The sequence below is a fragment of the Homo sapiens genome, chromosome 10, assembly GCF_000001405.40.
Source record: "Homo sapiens chromosome 10, GRCh38.p14 Primary Assembly".
Lineage (NCBI taxonomy): Eukaryota > Metazoa > Chordata > Mammalia > Primates > Hominidae > Homo > Homo sapiens.
In genome coordinates this window covers 118,956,971-118,979,028 of record NC_000010.11, presented here as the reverse complement: position 1 = coordinate 118,979,028, position 22,058 = coordinate 118,956,971, and the positions used below count along the sequence as shown (strand labels likewise).

The 22,058-nt window shown below is 49.9% G+C and overlaps 1 long non-coding RNA gene across 3 annotated transcripts in view, besides 2 other annotated features; it reads left to right on the top strand.

Moving 5' to 3' along the window:
- Positions 1-22,058, top strand: part of LINC03036 (long intergenic non-protein coding RNA 3036) — a 245,028-nt gene that overhangs the window by 50,543 nt on the left and 172,427 nt on the right. The window contains exon 5 of one of the 3 annotated variants that reach the window (NR_186542.1): positions 13,109-15,387. The exons of the other annotated variants lie outside the window; for them this stretch is intronic. This is a non-coding gene — a long non-coding RNA (long intergenic non-protein coding RNA 3036). Of the gene's footprint in view, positions 1-13,108; positions 15,388-22,058 lie in introns of those variants that run through there. 3 annotated transcript variants of the gene reach the window in all.
- Positions 18,624-19,353: an enhancer, noted in NCBI's record as "H3K27ac-H3K4me1 hESC enhancer chr10:120719188-120719917 (GRCh37/hg19 assembly coordinates)". NCBI's record gives its function as "activates a minimal SCP1, AML or CMV promoter by ChIP-STARR-seq in naive H9 embryonic stem cells {active_cell/tissue: H9 hESC(naive)}" and the evidence as "EXISTENCE:reporter gene assay evidence [ECO:0000049][PMID:30033119]".
- Positions 19,354-20,084: an enhancer, noted in NCBI's record as "H3K27ac-H3K4me1 hESC enhancer chr10:120718457-120719187 (GRCh37/hg19 assembly coordinates)". NCBI's record gives its function as "activates a minimal SCP1, AML or CMV promoter by ChIP-STARR-seq in naive H9 embryonic stem cells {active_cell/tissue: H9 hESC(naive)}" and the evidence as "EXISTENCE:reporter gene assay evidence [ECO:0000049][PMID:30033119]".

Here is a 22,058-nt window from a genome sequence, read left to right as displayed (position 1 = left end):
TCACCAGGTATTGGTGCCTTCCCTTGCCTGAGACTTGGGCGTTTCTGGGGATGAGGCTATGGCTGGGGGCAGTAGCCTCAGATCCACTCTCTGGCCTGGGCTTCTCCCACAAGGACCTGAGACATCCTCATACCCCTCCCTGGAGCCAAATGGGCACTGTGACATGGCCCTGCAAAGAGACAGCTGCCCCCGCTGCAGTGGGAGATAAGAGGCTCCTGAGGCCTGGCTGGCCACGTGTCCTTCAAGTTCCGTGGTGATGATGGCCCAAACCTCTACCTCCTCTCTTGACCTGGCCAGCTAGGGTCCCCCCTACCCTTTAGCCAGGGTCCTCATCAGCTGCACCGTGCCCTGTTGACACTTCTCTTCCACTGTCCATCCTCCACCCTCACCAGGTCCATCATTGGCCCACACTTAATTCTGTCAGCCACATGGTGATGCTTCCGAAGAGCCTCCTGGTAGCTCAAAGTGGGATCAAAGTGCCCCAGGGCGGGCAGCATTGCAGCGAGACACGGAACAACCTCCCGGGCAGTATGTGCAGGAGCTCGGCACTTGCTGGGGGCCTCAGCAAGTCATTTCGGTACCGACTGCAGCAGGTGGTCTTGGCCCAAGTCACCTGCTGCAGCTGGAAGGAGCCATCACTGCCCCTCCTGGCTCTGTCCTCTGAGGCTTTGCAGCCATCACCCAGCACGCCAGGGCATCTGCCTGACACCCAGTTCCAGAAAGTCTGGTTTTCTTCCCAAAGCCAGAGACTGTGTGCTTCATCTAGGAGGTGGCTAAAATGGCTTAGGGTAGGGGCGGGTGGGTCAAGAGGCTTGCAGGAGAATGAAAGTGAGGGCAGGGTTGCCACTGCTCGCAGCTTCCTGCACAGCCCCACCTTCCATGAACGACGGCCAGGTGGGTGACCTGCTCCAGGTCCCTGGGAGGGCTGGCCGGGGTGGGGCGAGGTGACTGGCCCCTGGTCTTGCAGCCAGAGCCTAAGGCGTCTGGGGACGCTGATCACTTGCAGCCCAGAGAGAGCACAGCTGTCCTCTGCTTGGGGGTTTGCGACACAGGGCAACGGGAGTGGCTGAATATGCAACAGCAAAGGAGACTGCAGCCGTGGAGTCAGGGTCAGGGCACCGCAGTCCTCATTCTAACCAACGCCACTGACAAGCAGTGTGACCTTGGGCAAGTCACTCTACCTCTCTGAGCCTCAGTTTCCTTTCCTGCAAAATGTCAATAATAAAAATACAGTTCCTACCTGGAAGGTTGTTTCTGTGCATAAATGTTGTCAGCTGTCAAAATCATAAAATTCATGGTGAGATCTCATCTCTGCAAAAATAAAGTAAAAAAATTAGCCAGGTGTGGTGGCATGTGCCTGTAGTCCCAGCAACTTGGGAAGCGGAGGTGGGAGGATGGCTTGAGCCCAGGAGGTCGAGGCTGCAGTGTGCTGTGATTGCACCACTGCACTCCAGCCTGGATGACAGAGCAAGACTCTATCTCGAAAAATTAAAAAATAATAAAATGAATAGTAATCCATTGCTATCTGCATTGGTTTGCTCTTATGACCTCTCTGACTTCCTCCCTGCTTGGCTCAGCAATTCCATTCCAGCAGTGTTTCCTGCATGAGGAGTACCTGCTGTGAGAGCCACAGTCACCCTCAAGCCTGGGTGAGCCTGGGTCAGGGCTGAGCTGAGCACAGCCTCCACCTTGGGCTGGGAATTGAGCTCTTCCAGACAGGAGAACAAGGCCTCTGAGCATGGAGAGCCACCAGCATCACCTCACCTGGGTTTAGGGACTTTGCAGACCCCTTTTTGGGGGGCGGTCCTTGGACTCCTCTGCAGGTTACAAACTTCCCACACACTCACCTGGCCAGACTTTTCCATTGGCTGGCCCTTTGGTGTTTGCTTCTTCTTTTAGGACACGGATGGTGCTGGGGGTTCATGAAGCACCATTGCAAGGCCAAAGGGAACCTCTCCTTTCTTCACGCCTTCCAGTCTGGCACTGCATGCAGACCGTGGTCAGTGGGGACTGACCCAGGGGCTCAGTCCAAAATGGTTTTATTTTTATTTTTAAATACAAATAAATGAGAAGCTCTGGCTGAAATGCTGTTTTTCTCTTCTTGTTCTTTCCCTTCTCTTTTCCCCATCCTTCCAGGCTGCTCCATCCCAGATCAAGTGAATCAGAATCTCTGGGGGATGGGACCAGGTCTGGTTGGTGTTTTTTGTTTGTTTGTTTTGTTTTGTTCTGTTTTTGTTTTTTAGGTATCCTGGGTAATTTTTGTTTTCTGGTTGTAAATATGAAGACTTTTTAAAAATTTTATTTTACTTTAAGTTCCGGGACACATGTGCAGGTTTGTTACATAGGTAAACATGTGCCATGGTGGTTTGCTGCACTTATCATCCCGTCACCTAGGTATTAAGCCCCGCATGCATCAGCCATTTGTCCTAATGCTTTCCCTCCCCTCACCTCACCCCCCAACAGGCCCAGGTGTGTGTTGTTCCCCTCCCTGTATCCATGTGTTCTCATTGTTCAGCTCCTACGTATGAGTGAGAACATGCAGTGTTTGGTTTTCTGTTCCTGTGTTAGTTTGTTGAGGATGATGGCTTCCAGCTTCATCCATGTCCCTGCAAAGGATGTGATCTCATTCCTTTTTATGGCTGTATAGTATTCCATGGTGTATATGTACCACATTTTCTTTATCCAGTCTATCATTGATGTATCCCTCGTAATTATTATGGGTAGCCCAGTGCTGAAAACCACTGCTTTGGGGAAACTGTTGTCATTAGGACCGGAAATCTCACAGAGGCCACAGTGAAGGGGAACAGTAGTTAGCAACAGTGATACCACTAGGACATGGCATGGCTCTCTTTCCTTTTTCCTACTCTCTTCTACATTGGCTCCTACCTCAAGCCCTAACCTCAGAGTCACAGAATAGCTGCAGCAGCTCTATCCCTCATATCTCCTCAGCTTTGAGGCCTGGAAAGAGGGGGAGGTTCTCTCCTAGGATGTCCATTGGATGACCCACTGCGTCTCATTGGTGCTTGCCTTTGCTGGCTCTGGTTGGCTTGCCACTGCTTGTTTCCATTTGACACATAAGCTTCCTCCAGCAGGTGGACTAGTATGAATTCAATATAATGGGGAGTGGTAATGGGGGATGGGTGAGGTGCTGTGAGAGTGCTGAGTGGGGTTACTAGCGGGAGGAAGGGTCAGTGACAGCTAAAGGGAAGCCCAGTGGAGGAGCTAGGATGTATAACAGCTGGGGGTGAGAACTGGAAAGACTCAGGAGCCACACAGATCCCGTGGCCATCCGCAGAGCCTGGGGAGGGAATACATGTACAAGTTAAAAATTACGTAGTGTCCCACAAGGGTTATAATGTAAAATCTGCAAGGCAATGTCCCCCACCCCCCAGTCCTGCTGCTCAGTGTTCAGCACTTTTCTGGAAATCTCTTCTGGTTTCTACTTACATATACCAATGTTGATGCTGCTCTTCCTGGAATTTTCTGTTGTAGGCATTGTCTGATGACTTCCTATTCTGAAAGATGGGGATTTCACATTCTTGTACCTCTCCACCCCAGTGGGTAGAATAATGGCTCCCCAAATACATCCATGCCCAAACCCCCAAGACCTGTGAATATGTTACCTTATGTGGCAAAGGAGACTTTGCAGATGTGATTAAAATTAAGGACCTTGAAAGGAGAGAACAGCCTGGATTATCCAGGTGGGCCCAATCTAATCACATGAGTCCTTGAAAGCAAAAGGCAGATGAGGGAGCCAGAGATGCCAGAAAGAAGAGGAAGGAAAGAGTCTAAGTGTGAGAGGGACTCCACCCACTGTTGATGACTCTGAGGATGGAAGAAGGGGCTGTGAGTCAAGGACTGCAGGTGGCTTCCAGGAGTTGGAAACGGCCCCCAGCCAAGAGCCCACAAGGGAATGTGACTGCAGTCAGTCCTACCCCTCCCTGCAAGGAACTGAATTCTGCCAATTCTGTGAATGAGCAAGCAAGTGGATCCATCTGCCCCAGGGCTTCCAGAAACGAACCCAGCCCTGCCGGCACCTCAATTTTAGCCCAGGGAGACCCTTGTCTGACTTCTGATCTGTAAGTGTAAGATCACAAATGTGTGTTGAGTCATCAAGTTTGTGCTAATTTGTGTGTGTTTTTTTTTTTGAGACGGAGTCTCACACTCTCACCCAGCTGGAGTGCAGTGGCGCCATCTCGGCTCACTGCAAGCTCCAACTCCTGGGTTCATGCCATTCTGCTTCAGCCTCCCAAGTAGCTGGGACTACAGGTGCCCGCCACCACACCTGGCTAATTTTTTAATTTTTTTTTATTTTTAGTAGAGACGGGGTTTCACCATGTTAGCCAGGATGGTCTTGATCTCCCGACCTCGTGATCTGCCCGCCTCGGCCTCCCAAAGTGCTGGGATTACAGGCAAAGCCACCATGCCCGGCTGAGTTTGTGCTAATTTGTTATAGCAGACAAATTGCCTGGGGTATACCTCCCACCGTGACATACATACTTTCCCTGTGCCCTCTCCTTTTATTTATAACTTTAAATCAAATTTCAATGTTTACATTAATAAGGTTAAATGAATACTGTTCCCAACTGACGCATGTAGTATATGTACTATGGTTACATTTCTTTTTTATACCTTTTTTTCCCCCTTGGGGTTGATAATTGCCTTTTTGTTTGCTTCATCTTCTGGGTACTTATGAATTCAGCCCTAAGTGTTTGGTCAGACTCTATCCATCAGGTGCTTAGTCGCAAAAAAAAAGAAAAAAAATGCACTCTAGCTAGAAGGAGAATTAATTACAGAATGTTCACTAGCTCCAGAATCCCAGGAGGAAAGAGAGGCAGCCTTGGAGACTGCACAATGAAGGACAGTCCTCAGACTGAACTACTGGCTGTCAGGGAGATGAATACTGCCACCCATGCTGTCCCTGAAGGTTAGCTGCCTCCCCCTCTAACTTTCCTTGAAAATGGCTTCCCATTGATGCTTGCTTCTTTACATTGTTTTATCCACAAATGAAATCTCACATGGATACAACTGATTGCTGGAGCTAAGGTCACATGTTCACACCTAGCTGCAAGGGAGGCTGGGAAACTTCAGTTTCATCTGGATTAGTTGTTCTGCAGGTCTGCTGCACAGAAGTCGTCTGGGATCTCCCTGCATCTCTCTGGATATTTTCTTTGCTTCTCTCCTGGGCTGGACCCTTTTCCTGGGTTCCATGTCTTCCTCTTCTTCATTTTGGTGTAACATCTCCTCCAATAACATTTTGAGATGGGGATAAGAGATAACATTTTGGATTTTTCAAGTCTGAAAATGTCCATACTATTCTCACAAGTAATTGATAATGCAATTTAGCTAGATACAAGGTTCTACATGGGAAATGCTTTTTCTTCAGAAATTTGAATTGTTCTATTGTCTTTTGGCTTCTAATGGGGAGAGACTCAATGCCATTATAATCTTGGTCCTTTGCATGTAGATATTTCCCCTCTTTCCTAGTGGGAAGCTTGTAGAATTTTGTCTCAGTCTGAAATGTAATCATCACATGCCTTCATGTAGGTGTGCTTTCATCCATTATGCTGGTACCTGGTAAGCCTTTTCAATCGGAAGCTCAAGGCCTTCGTCTTGAATTATTTCTTTGATGTTTTCTTCCTCTGTTTTTTCTGTTCTGTCATTCTGGGGTGCCTATTATTTTCATGCTGGACTTCTTGAAGTTGTCCCCTCATTTTCTGTATTTTTCTTTACCGTTTGCTCTGCTTATCTTTAACTTCTAAGTCTTCTATTGAGTTTATTTCTGCTATCTTAAGGTTATTTTTGGTTCACTAAATGTTTCTTTTTTTAAAAAACAGTGTCTTGTTCAGATTTCCTGGAGTTAATATTTTTGCTATTCTCTTTGAAAATCTAAAACTGAAAAATTAGTGGTTCCTCCTCCTCCAAAGATTTTCCCTCCCTGCAGTTTGTTTTCTTCAAGTTGTTTTTATATACTTGATTTTTTTTTTTTTTTGGTCTGTCTTTCGTGTACAAAGTTTTACTTCGCTATCCTGGCAACCCTTGCCTATCCAGTCATATTTAAAATTATGTACTAAGATGCTGACTGGGCACTCTGATTGCAGGAGTGGTCTTATCAAGTGCAGGCCTCACTGGATGACAGTGATGTTCAATTTTTGCTGCATGTTGGAATCACCTGGGGAGCTTTTATTTTTTAGGAGAGGGAGCTTTTCAAACCCGGATGTCTGGGCCCTCCCCAGATTAATTAAATCAGAATCTCTGGAGGGTGGGGCTCTGGGATTGGTATTTTTTAAAGCTCCCAGAGTGGTTCTAATTGCAGTCAGTTGAGAACGTTGCTCCAGGGTGATTGAGTTCAGCTGTTTTGAGAAACAACCATAACAGTAGAAACGTAAGTAGACTCTGGAAACTTGTAGTCGTACCTGTCAAGTATGGTATACTGATTCCCACCCTCTAAAATAGAAAATGTGGGAAATAATACAGAGTGGGTGTAAGATATTGTGTTTTCTCTGACAGGAGTTAATTCCAAGTTAAAAGAAAGCAGAGAACACTTTTTTTTTTTGTCTTCACCTCTATCATTCATCCTTAGAAGATAAAAAACAAATGTCAGCACCCGTAGCCCTTTTCTCTTGAGTTGGTCATATTCTCCCGTGAAGAATTTTCCAGTCTCCTCCTTCCTTGGCCAGCATTCTGAGATCTGAGTGGGGGAAGGAGACTGTGGGTCTTGATATCCAATATGTAAGCTTTAATTTAATTTCCCGTTTTCAGTGCAGTTCCTCCCTCCCCACAGGTCCCTGGTGTCCCCCATTGCAGAGACAGCTGTGTTACTTTCTCTAGAGAATCAGGGTCCAGTCTCCCGCTGGGGCAGGAGGTGCATTTGGCCAACCATGAGGAGTGGGAGAAGTAATTAGGGTCTGTCTGCTTGCACAGACTTTCAGCTTCTCTTCCTGCTTTCAACCTCACTTTCACCCCTGCCACCAGGGGCAGCCGGCACTGCCCATCTCTCCATCATGGTGGGATTTCTTGGTGTAAACCAAGCTGAGTCTCAGCTTCCCCACTCAGCTTTCTTGATTCATCAGTTACCAGATTCCAAAAAGTTGTTCCTGCTGTTCCTCATCCTTTTTATTCTCATGTGTTTATTCCTTTAAAGCATCCCTTTTATTGTTTTAACGGGACTCAGGGAGGAATCGCAGGTGGATGTGTATCGGCCGTTATCTTTCATCACATGTGTTCACCATTACCATATAAAGAATTTGTCCTATCACTTTGTGTGGACATGTGAGTCATTTTAATTTTGGGAAAAGGCTCTTTAACAATTGCAAAGTTAACTATTCAGATGTAATTTATTTTCTGTGAGGCACAGGTTTCACTGTGAACCTTCCAGGTCGTGGCTGATGTCTGAAGACTGTATTGAACATTGATGGGACACACTTTTTTTTTTAAAATTTTAAGTTCTGGGATACGTGTGCTGAACGTGCAAGTTTGTTACATGGTATATGTATGCCATGGTGGTTTGCTGCGCCCATCAACTCATCATCTAGGTTTTAAGCTGCATATGCATTAGGTATTTGGATGGGACACACTTTTTAAGAACCAACTTGGTTCTTCTTTAGCTCAGACGTGTAATGGAATGTATCAGAGACGCCGCTGAGTGGTGAGCTTGGGGATTTCTGTCACACTTCTTCCTCTGTGTTGGTTTCAAGTCACAATGGCTGCTGCTATGTGTTTTACAGACTTTTTTTTTTTGTCCCCCAGGAGAGCTAGAGTTATGTATTTGGTTTTGTTTGGACGTAAACATTTCTTCCTCTATTGACCAGTGCCAGGATTTATAAAGTTGAACTCTGAACCATGGACTCAGAAATGTATTTCACTGAAATAAAAGAAGACAGAGTCTCCGGGCAGTGGATTTCCAGGGAGGTGTCTTGAAATAGGGATCCATGTGGTTCTATTTTTGACCAAGTGGTTCAGGCAGGAGGAGGGGTAACCGGAGGGGCCGGGGGTCCTTGGGGAAGCTGTTGCCTATGTGGTTCCCTGGTCTGCCAGTCAAGGAGGGGGTAGGCACAGCTGTGGCCAGGTTGAAGACCAGGTTTCTTGAGTAAGACCCCAGACAGCAGGTGGGGAGTGAGATGCCCAGAAATCCGGATTCTTGGCAGGTGGCCAAGCACAGTGAACTTTTCATGAACCGTTTCAGTGTCTCATCTTCCCTAAGGTAGAGGCAACTCTGAGGAAGGGGAAGGAGGCCATGTCACAAGAAAGAATCCAGACTTTGCTAGTTAAGAGGGCCCTCGTCTTACTAACTGGGCACACTTTTCCTGTAAAGTACGATCTATAAAGTAGTACATGGCAAACATTTTTAGGTTTTGTGGGCCTTTAAGGTCTGTGTTGCATTTTCCTTTCTTTCCTTTCTCTTTCTCTCGTCTTCCTTTTCCTCTCTTTCCACAACATTTCCCCCCTCACCCTCTCTCCTTTCATCAGAGACAGGGTCTTGCTATGTTGCCCAGGCTGGTTTCAAACTCCTGGGCTCAAGCAATCCTGCCTCGGCCTCCCAAAGTGCTGGGATTACAGGTGTGAGCCACCGAGCGCGGCCTTTTCTTTTTGTTTTATACAACCCTTTAAAACCATTCTTGGCTTGCTGGCCATATAAAGAGGCTGCAGGCTGGACATGGCCCCAGGGCTGCAGTTAGCCAATCCCTGCACCACACCGCCCGGTTTATTTCCCTCCTAGAGCCTCTCACAGTCTGAAGTCTTACTCTGTTTATTTTCTGTTTCCTCTGCCATAATGTGAACTCCCTAAGGGCTGAGGACTGGGCTGCTTTATTCTCTGCTGTGTCCTTAGGCCTATGGCAGTTAGGAGCAGAGAGCGGCCACTCGAATGTTGGCTGAATGAGTGGATGTGTTATTAGTTCTAGATGAAAATCTCCGGTAGCTCATCTGTGAAACAGGAGACCTTGAAGAAGTCATGTTCTGAGATTTTTTTTTTTTTTTTTGACACAGTCCCGCTTTGTCACCAGGCTGGAGGGCAGTGGTGCCATCTCAGTTCACTGCAACCTCCACCTCCTGGGTTCAAGTGATTCCCTTGCCTCAGCCTCCCGAGTAGCTGGGATTACAGGCACCCGCCACCACGCCTGGCTAACTTTTGTATTTGTAGTAGAGACAGGGTTTCACCATGTTGGCCAGGGTGGTCTTAAACTCCTGACCTCAAGTGATCCGCCCGCCTCAGCCTCCCAAAGTCCTGGGATTACAGGCGTGAGCCACCACACCCGGCCTCGTGTGCTGAGATTCTAATTCCCAGAGCAATGTGGGGATTTGGTTCTTCTATAGTTGTGTGTGGATTTCTTAGACCTCCCGGAGGGCTCCTGTGAGCAGGGGAGAGGAAAAGCAAACAGCCCAGGAGCTGTGGGCTGCCCCTCACCCCTCGCCCCTTCTTTCCACCGCCTCAGGCCCATTCTGCCCATGTGCAAAGAGGGATTTTTCTGTAAAAATGGGTCTTACCCTATCAATCTTCTGTTGATAACTTGCTGCCCCAGCTGCTGTACAAACACACATGATAGTCCAATTATTTAAAATCAGGTACAAGCACAGGCACTGGCCAATCAAGGCAGGTGGTGGCTACAAGGCCTCTCCGCCGACTTCTCCAGCCTTGGCCCAGGCTCTCCCCTGCACCTGGGCTTTTGCCACGACAAATGTTTCCACCTTCTTTGAATATCCCACGTCTCTCTTCTTTGTTGATGCCCTTTCTTCCACCTGGAATGGACTTCCCCAAGCTTTTTTTTTTTTTCTCTTTTGCCTGGTAAACTCCTATGCATCCTTTGAAGCCCAGCTCAACTGTCAGCTCCTCTGTCCCCCAGGCACTTAGCTGCTCCCTTATCTGCACTCCCATAGCACTTCAACCCTTCTTGGCCATATACTTCCGTGAGATTATTGTCAGTGATTTGGGTTTGTCTCTCCTCTGGATTTGGTCCTCAATGTCTGGCTCCTAAATGTACTCAATAGATGTTTACAGAATGAAAGGGGTGTAGATCAAAAGAATGACAATCACATGGTAGATTCCAGGGAGCAAGCGTCTGGGCCCAAGTGGACACCTCCCTCCTGGGTTTTCTCCCTCCTGGGTTTTCTCCCTCCTGGGTTTTCTCCCTCCTGGGTTTTCTCCCTCCTGGGTTTTCACGTTTGGCTTCATTGCAGGTGCAAGTGGACATTTTTGTGAGACTCACGAGTTGAGAGAATTGGATGGCAGAACCGGGCAGCTGGTCCTTTAAGAACTGGCACCCATTCTGCCAGTGCCCCAGGCTCACTGCAGCCATCTGGAGGAGGTGGAGCTGCGAGGCTGAGGGCAGGAGGAGGGCTGAGTCCAAATCTGGAGACCCCACTCGGAGGCAGGGGACTCACTGGGGAGCCGCCTCACCGCTGTGGGCCTGGCCCCTCCTGTTCCCGCTGAAGTGCCCCCCTCCGAGGTTGCCTCTGAGGTCCCTTCCAGAGCAATAGCGTCGGGGACTCTGCAAAACATGTTTGGTTATCAAATCAGATCCTTTCTTGGCTGATTAAAACCCACCACCCATTCCTTAAATGCCGCCTCCCCTGGAAGTCCCCTCCAGCTCCGAGTCCAATTCCCTCTCTGGGACCTCCAAGCTCCGAGCCACATTGTGCACAGGGTATGGCCGTGACCCAGAATAACAGCAGCTGTGCCCAGAGTACGGCTGAGCATGGACACAGCACTGAGGGTGCACCTGGCAACGCGTGCAGCTCGGTGCTCACAACAGCCTCCTCACCCCAGCATACAGTGCGGCTCAGAGAGGGGAGGTGGCCAGCTGTCTGTGAGCTCCCTGGGCCACCCCTGAGGTCACCCACAAACAGTCCCTGCCCACACTGGCAGCTTCCTGTCTCTCTTCTGAGGGTGTCCTCTGGCTGAAGGAGTGTGCTGGCCTCAGCAGTGGCCTGGTCTGATGTACCAAGTGCCAGGGAGTTGACACCCTGGTGCATCCCCTAAATCCCCAACCACTGAGGGCAGGAGGTGGTAGATAAAAGCCACAGTCCCACCTCAGTGGGACAGCTCGGGGGCGCTCCAGGCTTTCTCCAAAGGGTTCCCTGTGGGGTGAGCCAGCCACGGTGGAGGACGCTCAAGGCTCCCTGCTAATGGTTGCCCCACTTTCCCAGCTGTGCTTCCTGGGATCATGTCCCAGAGAAGCCACCTGCACCCACATCCTTGTGCCAGGCTTGACTTTTGGGGAACTCAAACTGAGACCCTTGTCTGAGAATCCACAAGTGCAGGGGGTGATAGGATTTGAGCCAGGTCAGGCTGATCCTGACCCAGCCACCAAGAGGTGGTGGCTGGGTCAGGAGAAGCTTGTCAGGTCTAGGTCAGAAGCCCCTGGTCAGCAGGGCCACCCCAGCACCGGACTTCAGGGTGGCCTGGGTAGCCTTTCAGTAGGTGTTTGCTGACTGAGGGTGTTTGCTTTCCAGGAAGCCAGAGGAGGCCTGAGGATAACCCATGCCTCTGGCTTCAGGTCAGGCTGTTGGCAGAAGGGGGAGAGATGGGGGTGGGTGGTGGGGAGGGGGCTTGAGGGGGATGCTGTCCCTCAGCCTTACCTCTGGGCACTCAGGCCGGGTTCCTCTTTCCCAGGCCCACCCTTGGCTCCACCTAGCATTTAGCGACTGCCCTCAGGTTCCACGAACTTGGCCGGGAAAAGGGGGACTTCTGTGGAGGGTGTGACCAGCTCAACCTGCTTGGGAGGCACTGTGCAGATGGGAAGGGGATGTATATCCTGGTCCCTACCCCGAAGGGCAGAAACTGGCTTGACAAACTAGATAGGCATCCTTGGAACAATTGCAAACCACTCGAAGCCGAGGATGTTTCTGTTCTAAATTGAGGGACAGAGACTCTTAAGTGTTGATGGCAGCTCAAGAAGGAGGCTGGAGTAGTCCAGGGAGAATTTCTCGAAGAAGGAAAGATTAGGCTCTGGCAGGAAATGGGACACCCAAGTAGGGTCTCTGAGGAGAGACTGGGAACTGTTTGCAAAGGGGAGGTGGGGACACAAGACAACCCACCTAGGATGGGGCAGGACCTCATCGCTAGCACAGGGAGTGAAGCTCCTATCACCCTGGCCAGAAGGTGCAGGGACATCAGAGCTGGTATCGGAACTGGTATCGGAGCCTGGAGCTGCAGCAGAGTATCTCCTATTTTGAGCTGCTGGCCGGAAGGCGAGGAAGCAGCCCCTGCCAATCTGCAGCCCATCCGGGAGGGAGCAGATTCCCCAGACACCCTCTCCTCCTACACTCCGGCCTCTGGCTGGCACCTTCCACTGGACGAGCCCAACCAGGAACTGAGGCCTGGAGACATGTCAGCCCTGGGGCACAGAGCTGGGTAGGGACATGGGGGACTCCGCAGAGAATATCTAGGCAGTGGGGATCCTGGGGGTCTGGCCTGCATTTTCCCATGGCAATGTCTGGTACAGAGGGCAGCAGCCTGATATTACAACCATATGACCTCCTGTTTAATCAGAAAATGTGCCAGGCCCAGAACTCAGTGTGTGGCTTTATTTTCAACTGGCTGCCTTCCTTTCTCTAATTCTAAGGCAACCAAACAGCCCTGCATTTGGAATAATTGCTCTGTCCGTGCCGTTGCTCATGTTTCCCTGACCTTGAAAGAGCCATTTTCCAGGACCGTTGCTAATGGACCTTCACGCAATTGCAATAAAATATCCTGGTGCTTGGAGGAGAAAGGAGAAGCTGCCTCGAGTGACGCTTCGCTTGCCCCAATGTCTTCCTATGAAATCACTAACGTGACTCATTCCCAGCCTCCCTCCCCTGGCACCTTGGCTCTTTTTGTTTTGGCCCCATCCAATGCTGCATTTATAAGTCCTTTGACATTTGTGCAAAACCCACCTTCCCCCATTGAGTAACATAATGGCCCACATCTGACCCTTGTTTTAATGTCTTTTCCAACTGAACACAAAATGCCAAGAACCGAGGGTGAATTGGCCCCGTCAGTCTACGGAGTGGGAAGGATGCTGCCAGTGGATGCATCTGGAATGTTCAGTAAATTTTCGGAGACCTGAAAGATGCCTTTAGGAGGCTGGATGGCCGGGCTCTGAGATGTGTGCATTCCCTCCCTTTGCAGCACACAGCTCACCTCGGAGCTCTGCCTGTCCAGATGGCCTGATCCTCATGTCCCCACCTGGCCTGCTGACTCCCTCCTGGCTGAAGGGTGGAAATGAATCCTTGTACGGAATAAGCCTCTCCGGCCCGACCTGGGAATGAGTAACAGCTTAGCTGGTGACCTTTGCCCTGGGACGACAGCTCTGGACAGCTGCAGGAGGCTTCGTTGGGATGGGGGTGGCCCATTGTGGGGTGCCTGGCAGGAGTCTCTGAGCCATGTCTTTAGAAGGTACGAGTGCAGGACACAGTTCTTTTGTGGTCTGAGATCTGTGCTTAGGCAGAGAACTGTGTCCAGAGAGTCAGGCTGTAAAGTGGGGAGCCTCCCGTGAGGGCTGCAGCATTCCCGTGCAGATCCCTAATTTCCAATCTGGACTCTAGAAGACTTTGGTTCTCTTCCTGGCTCTGGCCTCTGCTGGGACCCTGGAGGTGTCTCCTTTCTCCTTCAAGTTTTTCATCAGCAATGCCAGGATTTGGTAATGACATGAGTCCCTCCTGGCTCAGATAGCCCAGCATCACTGTCACCCTGGGATCCCTTTGCTGACATCCCAGTCCCAGACCAGTAACTGCAGCTCAGAGTACCTGAGGCTCCCCAGCTGTTTCCACGGCTTCCCTGTGCCTCAACCCTTATGACCTTGTTATTCCCCAGAAATTCTGCAGCATGGCAGGCTGGGCTCCCCGCTCCCTGGGGGAGCCTTGTGCTGTGTCACTTCCTCAGACCCCTGCCTGAGCCTGTCCCCTTGTGGGGGACCAGAGTGTATACCTCACCTGAGCTAGCTTTCTGTTGCTGCTATACATATTACCACAAACTTAGTGGCTTAGAACCCCACACTGTATTATCTTACAGTTCTGGAGGGTCAGAAGTTTGACACAAGTCTCACTGGCCTAAAACCAAGGTGCTGGCAGGTCTGACTCCTTCTGAAGGCTCTAGGGGTATATTAGTCTATTCTCATGCTGCTTATAAAGACATACCCGAGACTGGGTAATTTATAAAGAAAAAGAGGTTTAATGGACTCGCAGTTCCATATGGCTGGGGAGGCCTCACAATTATGGTGGAAGGCAAAGGAAGAGCAAAGGGATGTCTTACATGGCAACAGGCAAGAGAACTTGTACAGGGGAACTCCCATTTATAAAACCATCAGATCTTGTGAGACTTATTCACTACCATGAGAACAGCATGGGAAAGGCCCACCCCCATGATTCAATTACCTCCCACTGGGTCCTTCCCACGACATGCGGGGATTATGGGAGCTACAATTCAAGATGAGATTTGGATGGGGACATAGCCAGTCCATATCAAGGGGAGAACCCACTTCCTTGCCTTTTCCAACTTCTAGAGGCTGCCTGCATTCCTTGGCTCATGGCCCTTTCCTCCATCTTCAAAGCCAGCTTTGGGGCTCTGTCACCCTTCTTGTATTGCATTTCTAACCCACTCTGCCACCTCCTCCACTTCTAAGGACTCATGGGTTAGGTTGGGCCCATCTGGATAATGCCACATAATCTCCTCATTTCAAAGCCTTAACTTTCTTCACATCTGCAAGTCCTGTGATCATGTAAGGACACCTTTTCATGGGTTCTAGGGATTAGGCTGGGGATAGTTTTGCCGGGAGCATTCTTCTGCCTACCACCCCACCCAATCTGAGGCTTGGGGTTTGCGCAGGGCACCATGATAGTTTTCCTCTGGGGTCTCAGCTCAGGTGCTAGAAGGGCACCTCCTCTCTGGAACCCTCTGTGATTGCACCAGGCAGAGGCAACTGCCCTTCCTCTGGCAACCACCACCCCCAGCACACTTGTCATGCTTGTGTGACAGTGCCTGTGGGTAGGTCTCCCCTGTTAATTGGGAACAAGTGGGTAGTGTCAGGCCTCTGAGCCCAAGCTAAGCCATCATATCCCCTGTGACCAGCATGTATACATCCAGATGGCCTGAAGCAACTGAAGATCTACAAAAGAAGTGAAAATAGCCTTAACTGATGACATTCCACCATTGTGATTTGTTTCTGCCCCACCCTAACTGATCAATGTACTTTGTAATCTCCCCCACCCTTAAGAGGGTTCTTTGTAATTCTCCCCACCCTTGAGAATGTACTTTGTGAGAGCCACCCTCTGCCCGAAAAACATTGCTCCTAACTCCACCGCCTATCCCAAAACCTATAAGAACTAATGATAATCCCACCACCCTTTGCTGACTCCTTTTTCGGACTCAGCCCCCCCGCACCCAGGTGAAATAAACAGCCTTGTTGCTCGCAAAAAGCCTGTTTGGTGGTCTCTTCACACAGACAGGTGAGACAGGTAGAGACCTTACCTTCTTCCCCCGGGGTGCCCAGTGTCTGCGGGGTGGCAGATGAGCAAGAGGCTGACCTGGGGAACAAGCTCAGAAGCTGTGGGGGAACCGAGAGCTTCTGGGGGTTCGGTGGGAGCAGAGAGGACCTGCCCTAAGCACACCGACATGGACCCTTTTCATGGGTGCATGGACTGTCTTGGCAACAGTGAAACAAAGATCACAGTCCCCATTTCACAGAAGAAAAATCAGCAGCGCGGAGAAGTTAAGGGGCTGCCCAGGCTCCCAGGGGGAGTTTCGGAGCAGAATTCGGACTTGGGCTCCTCACTTGCCTCTCCCCTACTCTCCCCCGATTCTTATGCAGTTATTTTTTTTATTCCACAAATGGCCTGTTAGAGGTTGAACTGTGCTCCTCTACCCCACCCCAAATTCACATGTTTTGTTCCTAATCCCCAGTACCTCAGAATGTGACTTTATTTGAAAACAGGATCATTGCAGATGTAATTAAGATGAGGCCATTCTGCATTAGGGTGAACCTCATAAAAAGGGGAAATCTGGACAGAGACACACACAGGGAGAAGGCCACACGAAGACGAAGGCAGAAATGGGGTGAATGCCACACATTGCCAGCCCCCCGCAGATGCTAGGAGGGAAGCTTGGAAGGAATTCTCCCCACAGCCTTCAGAAGGAGCCAATCCTATTGTTACAGGAAAGGGGTCCCGATCCAGATCCCAAGAGAGGGTTGTAGGATCTATCGCAAGAAGAATTCAGGGCAAGTAGTCTGTAATGTGAGAGTAAGTTTATTAGGAAAGTAAAGGATTAAAAGAATGGCTACTCCATAGACAGCAGCCTCAAGGGCTGCTGGTTGCCTATTTTTATGGTTATTTCTTGATGATATGCTAAACAAGGGGTAGATGATTCAGGCCTCCCATTTTTAGAGCATATACGGTAACTTTCTAACGTTGCCATGGCATTCGTAAACTGTCATGGCCCTGGTGGGAGTACAGCAAGAACGACCAGAGGTCATCCTCTGGTGGCCATCTAGGTTTTGGTGGGTTTTGGCCGGCTTCTTTAATGCAAACTGTTTTATCAGCAAGGTCTTTATGACCTGTATCTTGTGCTGACCTTCTATTTCATTCTGTGACTAAGAATGCCTAACCTCCTGGGAATGCAGCCCAGCAGGTCTCAGCCATATTTTACCCAGCTCCTATTCAAGATGGAGTTACTCTGGTTCAAACGCCTCTGACACTATGACACTCTGGTTTTGGATTTCTCATCTCCTGAATGGAGACAATAAATTTCTGTCACTTAAGCCACATGGTTTGTGGTCCCTTTCTTACTGCATCGTAGAAAACTGCAACGCTGCTCATAAGCCTAGTCCCAGGGGTCTCTAAAGCACACTGAGCTGGTCCCTCCTGTTCCTCCGGCCTCATCTCTGACTATCCCCTCCCTTCTGTGAGCTCCAGACACACCTGCCTTCTACATAATCAGTTTTTAAACAGCTTTACTGGGGTGTGATAGACTTCAATAAACTGCACATAAAGTGTGTAATTTGAGTTTTGGCACATGTACACAACCATGCAACTGTCACTGCTGTCAAGATAATGAACAGATCAGTCCCCCAAGAGGTTCCCCATGCCCCTGTGCTCACTACTGTCCCACCTCCCACCCCAGGCAACTGTTAGATTAATTTGCATTTTCTAGACTTTTATATAAATGGAAACTTCCAGTAAGTACTCTTTTTGTTTTTGTACAGTGGGCTTTTTCAGTTTCTTGGAACTACTCCCCTGCCCTCCATTCACAGGCTCCTGAGAACCCTACAGGACCTGAGAACCGGGTGTGGCTCCCTGTCTGTCACCTTCCATTCGCCAGTGATCCTGTTGGGCCCCTGGAGCAGATGCCCTTGAATGCCAGTGTGAGGCAAGCATTGGGGTGGTGAGTGTCCTTGCACTTTGTAGGAATGAATCTCAGTGATGGATTAGAGGAGGGGCAGGGGGTCAGGTGGGGGCCGTGAGGCAGATGGGAGGGGACTTGTCTTAGTGTCTGTCAAGGCCAAGCAGAGGCAAGGTGTAGGGCGGTGAATGAGGCAGGTGTTCAGTGAGCTCTTTCAGCGTGGAATGGGACAGGAACAGCCTGTGTTGCGGGGTCAGAGGTCAGAGCGAGGGGGTGCTTGGGGGTCCAGGCTTCAGGAACCTCACTGGACATTTCTCACCTTTCTCCTCAGCATCCCCTCTCCTCTGCTGACAGGTGAGGCACAATTCCAAATCCTGGTGTTACTAAGAGGGTTGGTGGCATTCATGAGTCAGCGAGTCATTTTATTTTTTTAAATGAGATTAAAAAGTTCTTTTGCAAAGTACAACATTTCTTCTGTACAATTTATTGTAACCAGGGGGCATTTTAAAGGATAGGTGCTCAGAAGCTGAAGCACCAGAGTGCTTTCTAAACCAGAATAAGGCACACTTCCTCCCCATGGCTGCTGCTGACCTGAAAGCTACCAGTCTGGAGAGCCGAGGGCACACCAAGATCAAGGGGCTGGAGCTGTCGCTTAACAATCTGAGGCCACGGGTGATAAGTTCCCCCATCAGGTGCACTTCTCACTCAGGGTGGGGGTAATCGGCTCCAGATCCCATTTTAAAGGGGTGCACCTGCTTAAGATAGTCAAATGTCCACCTGAAAAGTACCCTACCAAGTTTTCCATGAATCTACATGAGGAGGCCTCATGAGAAATGCTGCAGATGCAGGTGGCCCAGCTTGGGGATCTGCCAGGATGCTTTTTATGGGTGGAATCACCTGCATCCCTTCCAGATCCCCAAGGCTTGGAGAGAGGACGCCCCTTATCACAGCTCCTTCTGCCAACTCCCAATGAGAAATGATGTCCCCACGGCGGGGGAAGAGATGGGTTTCACGTCCACCTCCTGCCATCTTGCTCAGGACCACACCCAGCCCCATGAAGAGGCAGGCAGGGTACTTTTCCAAACCAGTCCGCTTCATGGTGGGGATAAAATAAAGATGCTCTAGGTTTCCCCTCATGCTGTGTGTGCGTGTGCACATGTGTGTGTGCACGTGCGCATGCGTGTTTCCATTTAGGGACTGGGTGAAACTCAAAGTGAACTTTCTTGGAATTTCAGTGGAATTTCTTGGCAGGGCCTTACCTTGGGAAGGAGGAGGCAACCCGGAGGCCTGGGGCCAGGGCGGGGAGGGCGGATGTTCCTGTGGTCTCACCGGCTGCTTCTCCCCTTTCCTGGAAGCCCCAAGCCTGCCTTTGTACTTAGCTGGACCTGCTCTGCAGGACTGAATGTAACTTTGTGTAACTCTTGCTGAATTGCTGGAGGGCTTGGGCTGACTCCTACCCAATGACGATGTGGACACCACTTAGTGCTTCCTTATGCCTAGGCCAAGTGCTTGATACACAGCAGATCCTTTCACCCACACAACAGCCCTGTGTGGAAGGTACTGTTCCTTTCTGCATTTTCCAGATATGGAAGCTGAGGCCCAGAAAGGTTGTTTAACAGCCCACGGTCACTCAGCTAGGAATAAATGGAGTCAGGATTTGAATCCAGACTTTCCAACTTACAGCGTGGCTGTGGGTCAGAGAGCTTCCTTGATGGCAGCTGGCTTCGGCTTCTTACTCTGTTCCTCCCCAAGTTCCCCAAAAGGCCCTTGCTGTCTCCTGGCTTCTAAGTTTCTGCACAGGTGCATCCTTGGGCTGAAACAACCACTCCTGTATCCTCTCATGGGTATTCACAAGGCACACTAGCATGTTAAAGTTACTTCACCTGGCTAACTCCCACTTGTTCTCAGAACCTGGCTTAGAGACTGCCTCCTCCAGGAAGCTCTCCCTGAGTACCACCACCTCCAAAGTCCAGGCGGGGTACCCCTACTGGTACTCCCATGGCATCGGGCCTCCTCCTAGCAGGTTGTTGCCCACTGCTGTTGCCGTGGGGGTGCTGCTTGTCTGTCTCCATCAGTGCAAGCTTCTCAAGGGTGGGGTCTGCTCCTGTGTTTGGGGAATGAGTGGTTAACTCTTGTCTTTTGCTGCAGTGTCTAGGATGATCCATCCTTTGTTTCTGGTTAGGGATGTGGCCGGGTTGCTGGGGGTCCATCCCTCCTCCCTTCCTTGTGCCTCAGTTTCCTATCTGGAATTTCAGGAGACTCACAGTTACCCCTTGTAGCATTGTCATGAGGCTTTAAAGAGTGGATACAGATAGAGCCTGTAGAACAGCCCCGGCCATGTGTGAGCTGCCTTTACTGTGCTGGGTGCTTTTGATGCCAAGGAGGGGTGGGGAGGCTCGGCCCAGGCTGACCTACTTCTCCTCAGGCACTGCTCTCGTGGTGAATGACTCAGCATTTTGAACTCTGACTTCTTTCTTTAGGAGCCAGATCATTCTATTGCCATACCAAAGATATTTGGCAAGGTTAAATGCCAACTATGTGTATGGGGGGTGGTGGGGGGTGGCTGGGGAGGGGAACGGGGACACACGCGGTCCCTGGAATTCAGTGCAACACAGGACTGGAAGTCACACTCTTGCTGCAGATCTGTAGAGCACCAGCTTGCAGCCCCATGAACCTAAAGTGGCCCTGAGGTTATCCCACAGGGAGGCAAATGCATCTTCCATATGGGGAGCTCCAAACTCCCTGAACATGGGCCTTTTCCTCTGTTACCACTGGACTCGCTCTTGCAGGATTTTCCCAGCTCCACTCTACAGAGGCAAATCCCACCAGAGGCTCTGAGAAGAGGCTTCTGTGGTTACATAAATTTAGGACAAAATAAAAAATCAAAACTAAAAAAACAAAAAAATAGAAGTAGGACAACCATTCCTGTATCCGCTCATGGGTATTCACAAGACACACTAGCATGTTAAAGGCCCTGAGAAGTCGTGCAAGAAACTGTTCAACTGTTCCCTGATTACTTGACCACTGTATTAGTCTGTTCTCGAATTGCTACAAATACATACCTGAGACTAGGTCATTTATAAGAAAAGAGTTTTTTGTTTTTTTTTTTTAGAAGGAGTCTCACCGTGTCTCTCAGGCTGGAGTGTAGTGGTGTGATCTCAGCTAACTGCAACCTCCGCCTCCTGGGTTTAAGCGATTCTTGCGCCTCAACCTCTCGAGTAGCTGGGATTACAGGTGTGCACCACCATGCCCGGCTAATTTTAGTATTTTTAGTAGAGACGATGTTTTGCCATGTTGGCCAGGCTGGTCTTGAACTCCTGACCTCAGGTGATCCACCCGCCTCAGCCTCCTAAAGTGCTGGGATATCAAGCGTGAGCCACCATGCCCCGCCAAGAAAAGAGGCTTAATTGGCTCATGATTCTGCAGGCATGTATAGGAAGTGTGGTGGCATCTACTTCTGGGAGGGCCTCAGGGAGCTTTTACTCATGGCGAAAGACAAAATGGGAGCAGGCGTCTTACGTGGCGGGAGCACGAGCAAGAGAGAGAGAGGGGAGGTCATGCACCCCTTTGAACAATCAGACCTTGTAAGCACTCACCATCATGAGACCTGCACTGACGGGATGGCGCTAAACCATTCATGAGAAATCCGCTCCTGTGATCCAGTCACCTCCCACCTGGCCCCACCTCCAACACTGGGGATTATAATTTGACATGAGATTTGGGCTTGGACACACATCCAAATCGTGTCGACCACAGAACCCCTTTTCACATATTTTTCCAGGTCAACCATCAACAACCGTCGACATCCTGCAGTTCCAGAACACACTTTGGGAAACCCCCCACAAAAGTGGCTGGCGCATGGTTTCCATTCAAATGGTTAAATCTACCTTTGGAAACCTGGAAAGAGATCAGTGAAAATCTGTCTTAGTGTCCTAGAGCTAATATCAACCAAGTACTCCAAACTGGGTGGCTTAAAACAGCAGAACTTGATTGTCTCACAGTTCCAAGGGCTACAAGTCCAAAATCAAGGTGTCTGCAGGGCCGTGCCCCCTCTGAACCCTGCAGGGGAGGATCCTTCCTGCTCTTCCAGCTTCTGGCGGCTGTGGGCAGTCCTGAGTGTTCCTTGGTGTGTGGCGGCATCACACAATCTCTGCCTCTGTCTTCACCGGGCTGTCTTGTCTCTGTGTGTCTGTCTTTGTGTGTCTTCTCTTCTTATAAAGACACCAGTCATATTGGATTAGGGGCCCACCCTACTCCAGTGTGACCTCGTCTTAACCTCATTTCATCTGCAACGTCCTTATTTTCAAATAAGATCATATTTCAAGGTAGTGGAGGTTAAGATGTATCTTTTTGGGAGACATAATTTGAACCATAACAAAAACCCATCCGTAGCAGGTGGCTCTGGGTTGGGAGTTACTGTAACCATCCCAGGGGCTTTCTCTACTTTCCAAGATCTGGCAGCGATGCCACTGTGTCCAGTGAGTGTCTACTGCATGCTGGCTGAGTCACAGACACCATCTCATGGAACCTTACTGCAGTCCTGAGCACTGGGGTCTATCATTCTCCCAGGTTAAATGGCCCAGCAAGCCAGGGGTGAGTTGGGGTTTAACCCCAGGGTCTGTGTGCCTGCACCATCCTGGTTTTTATGATCTGTGCTGTGCGGCTTCAGGTGGGTATGAGCAGTCGGGCTTCAGAGGAAGTCACCATGCTGCTGTCAGATGCCTTTTCCACTGACACCTGGAGG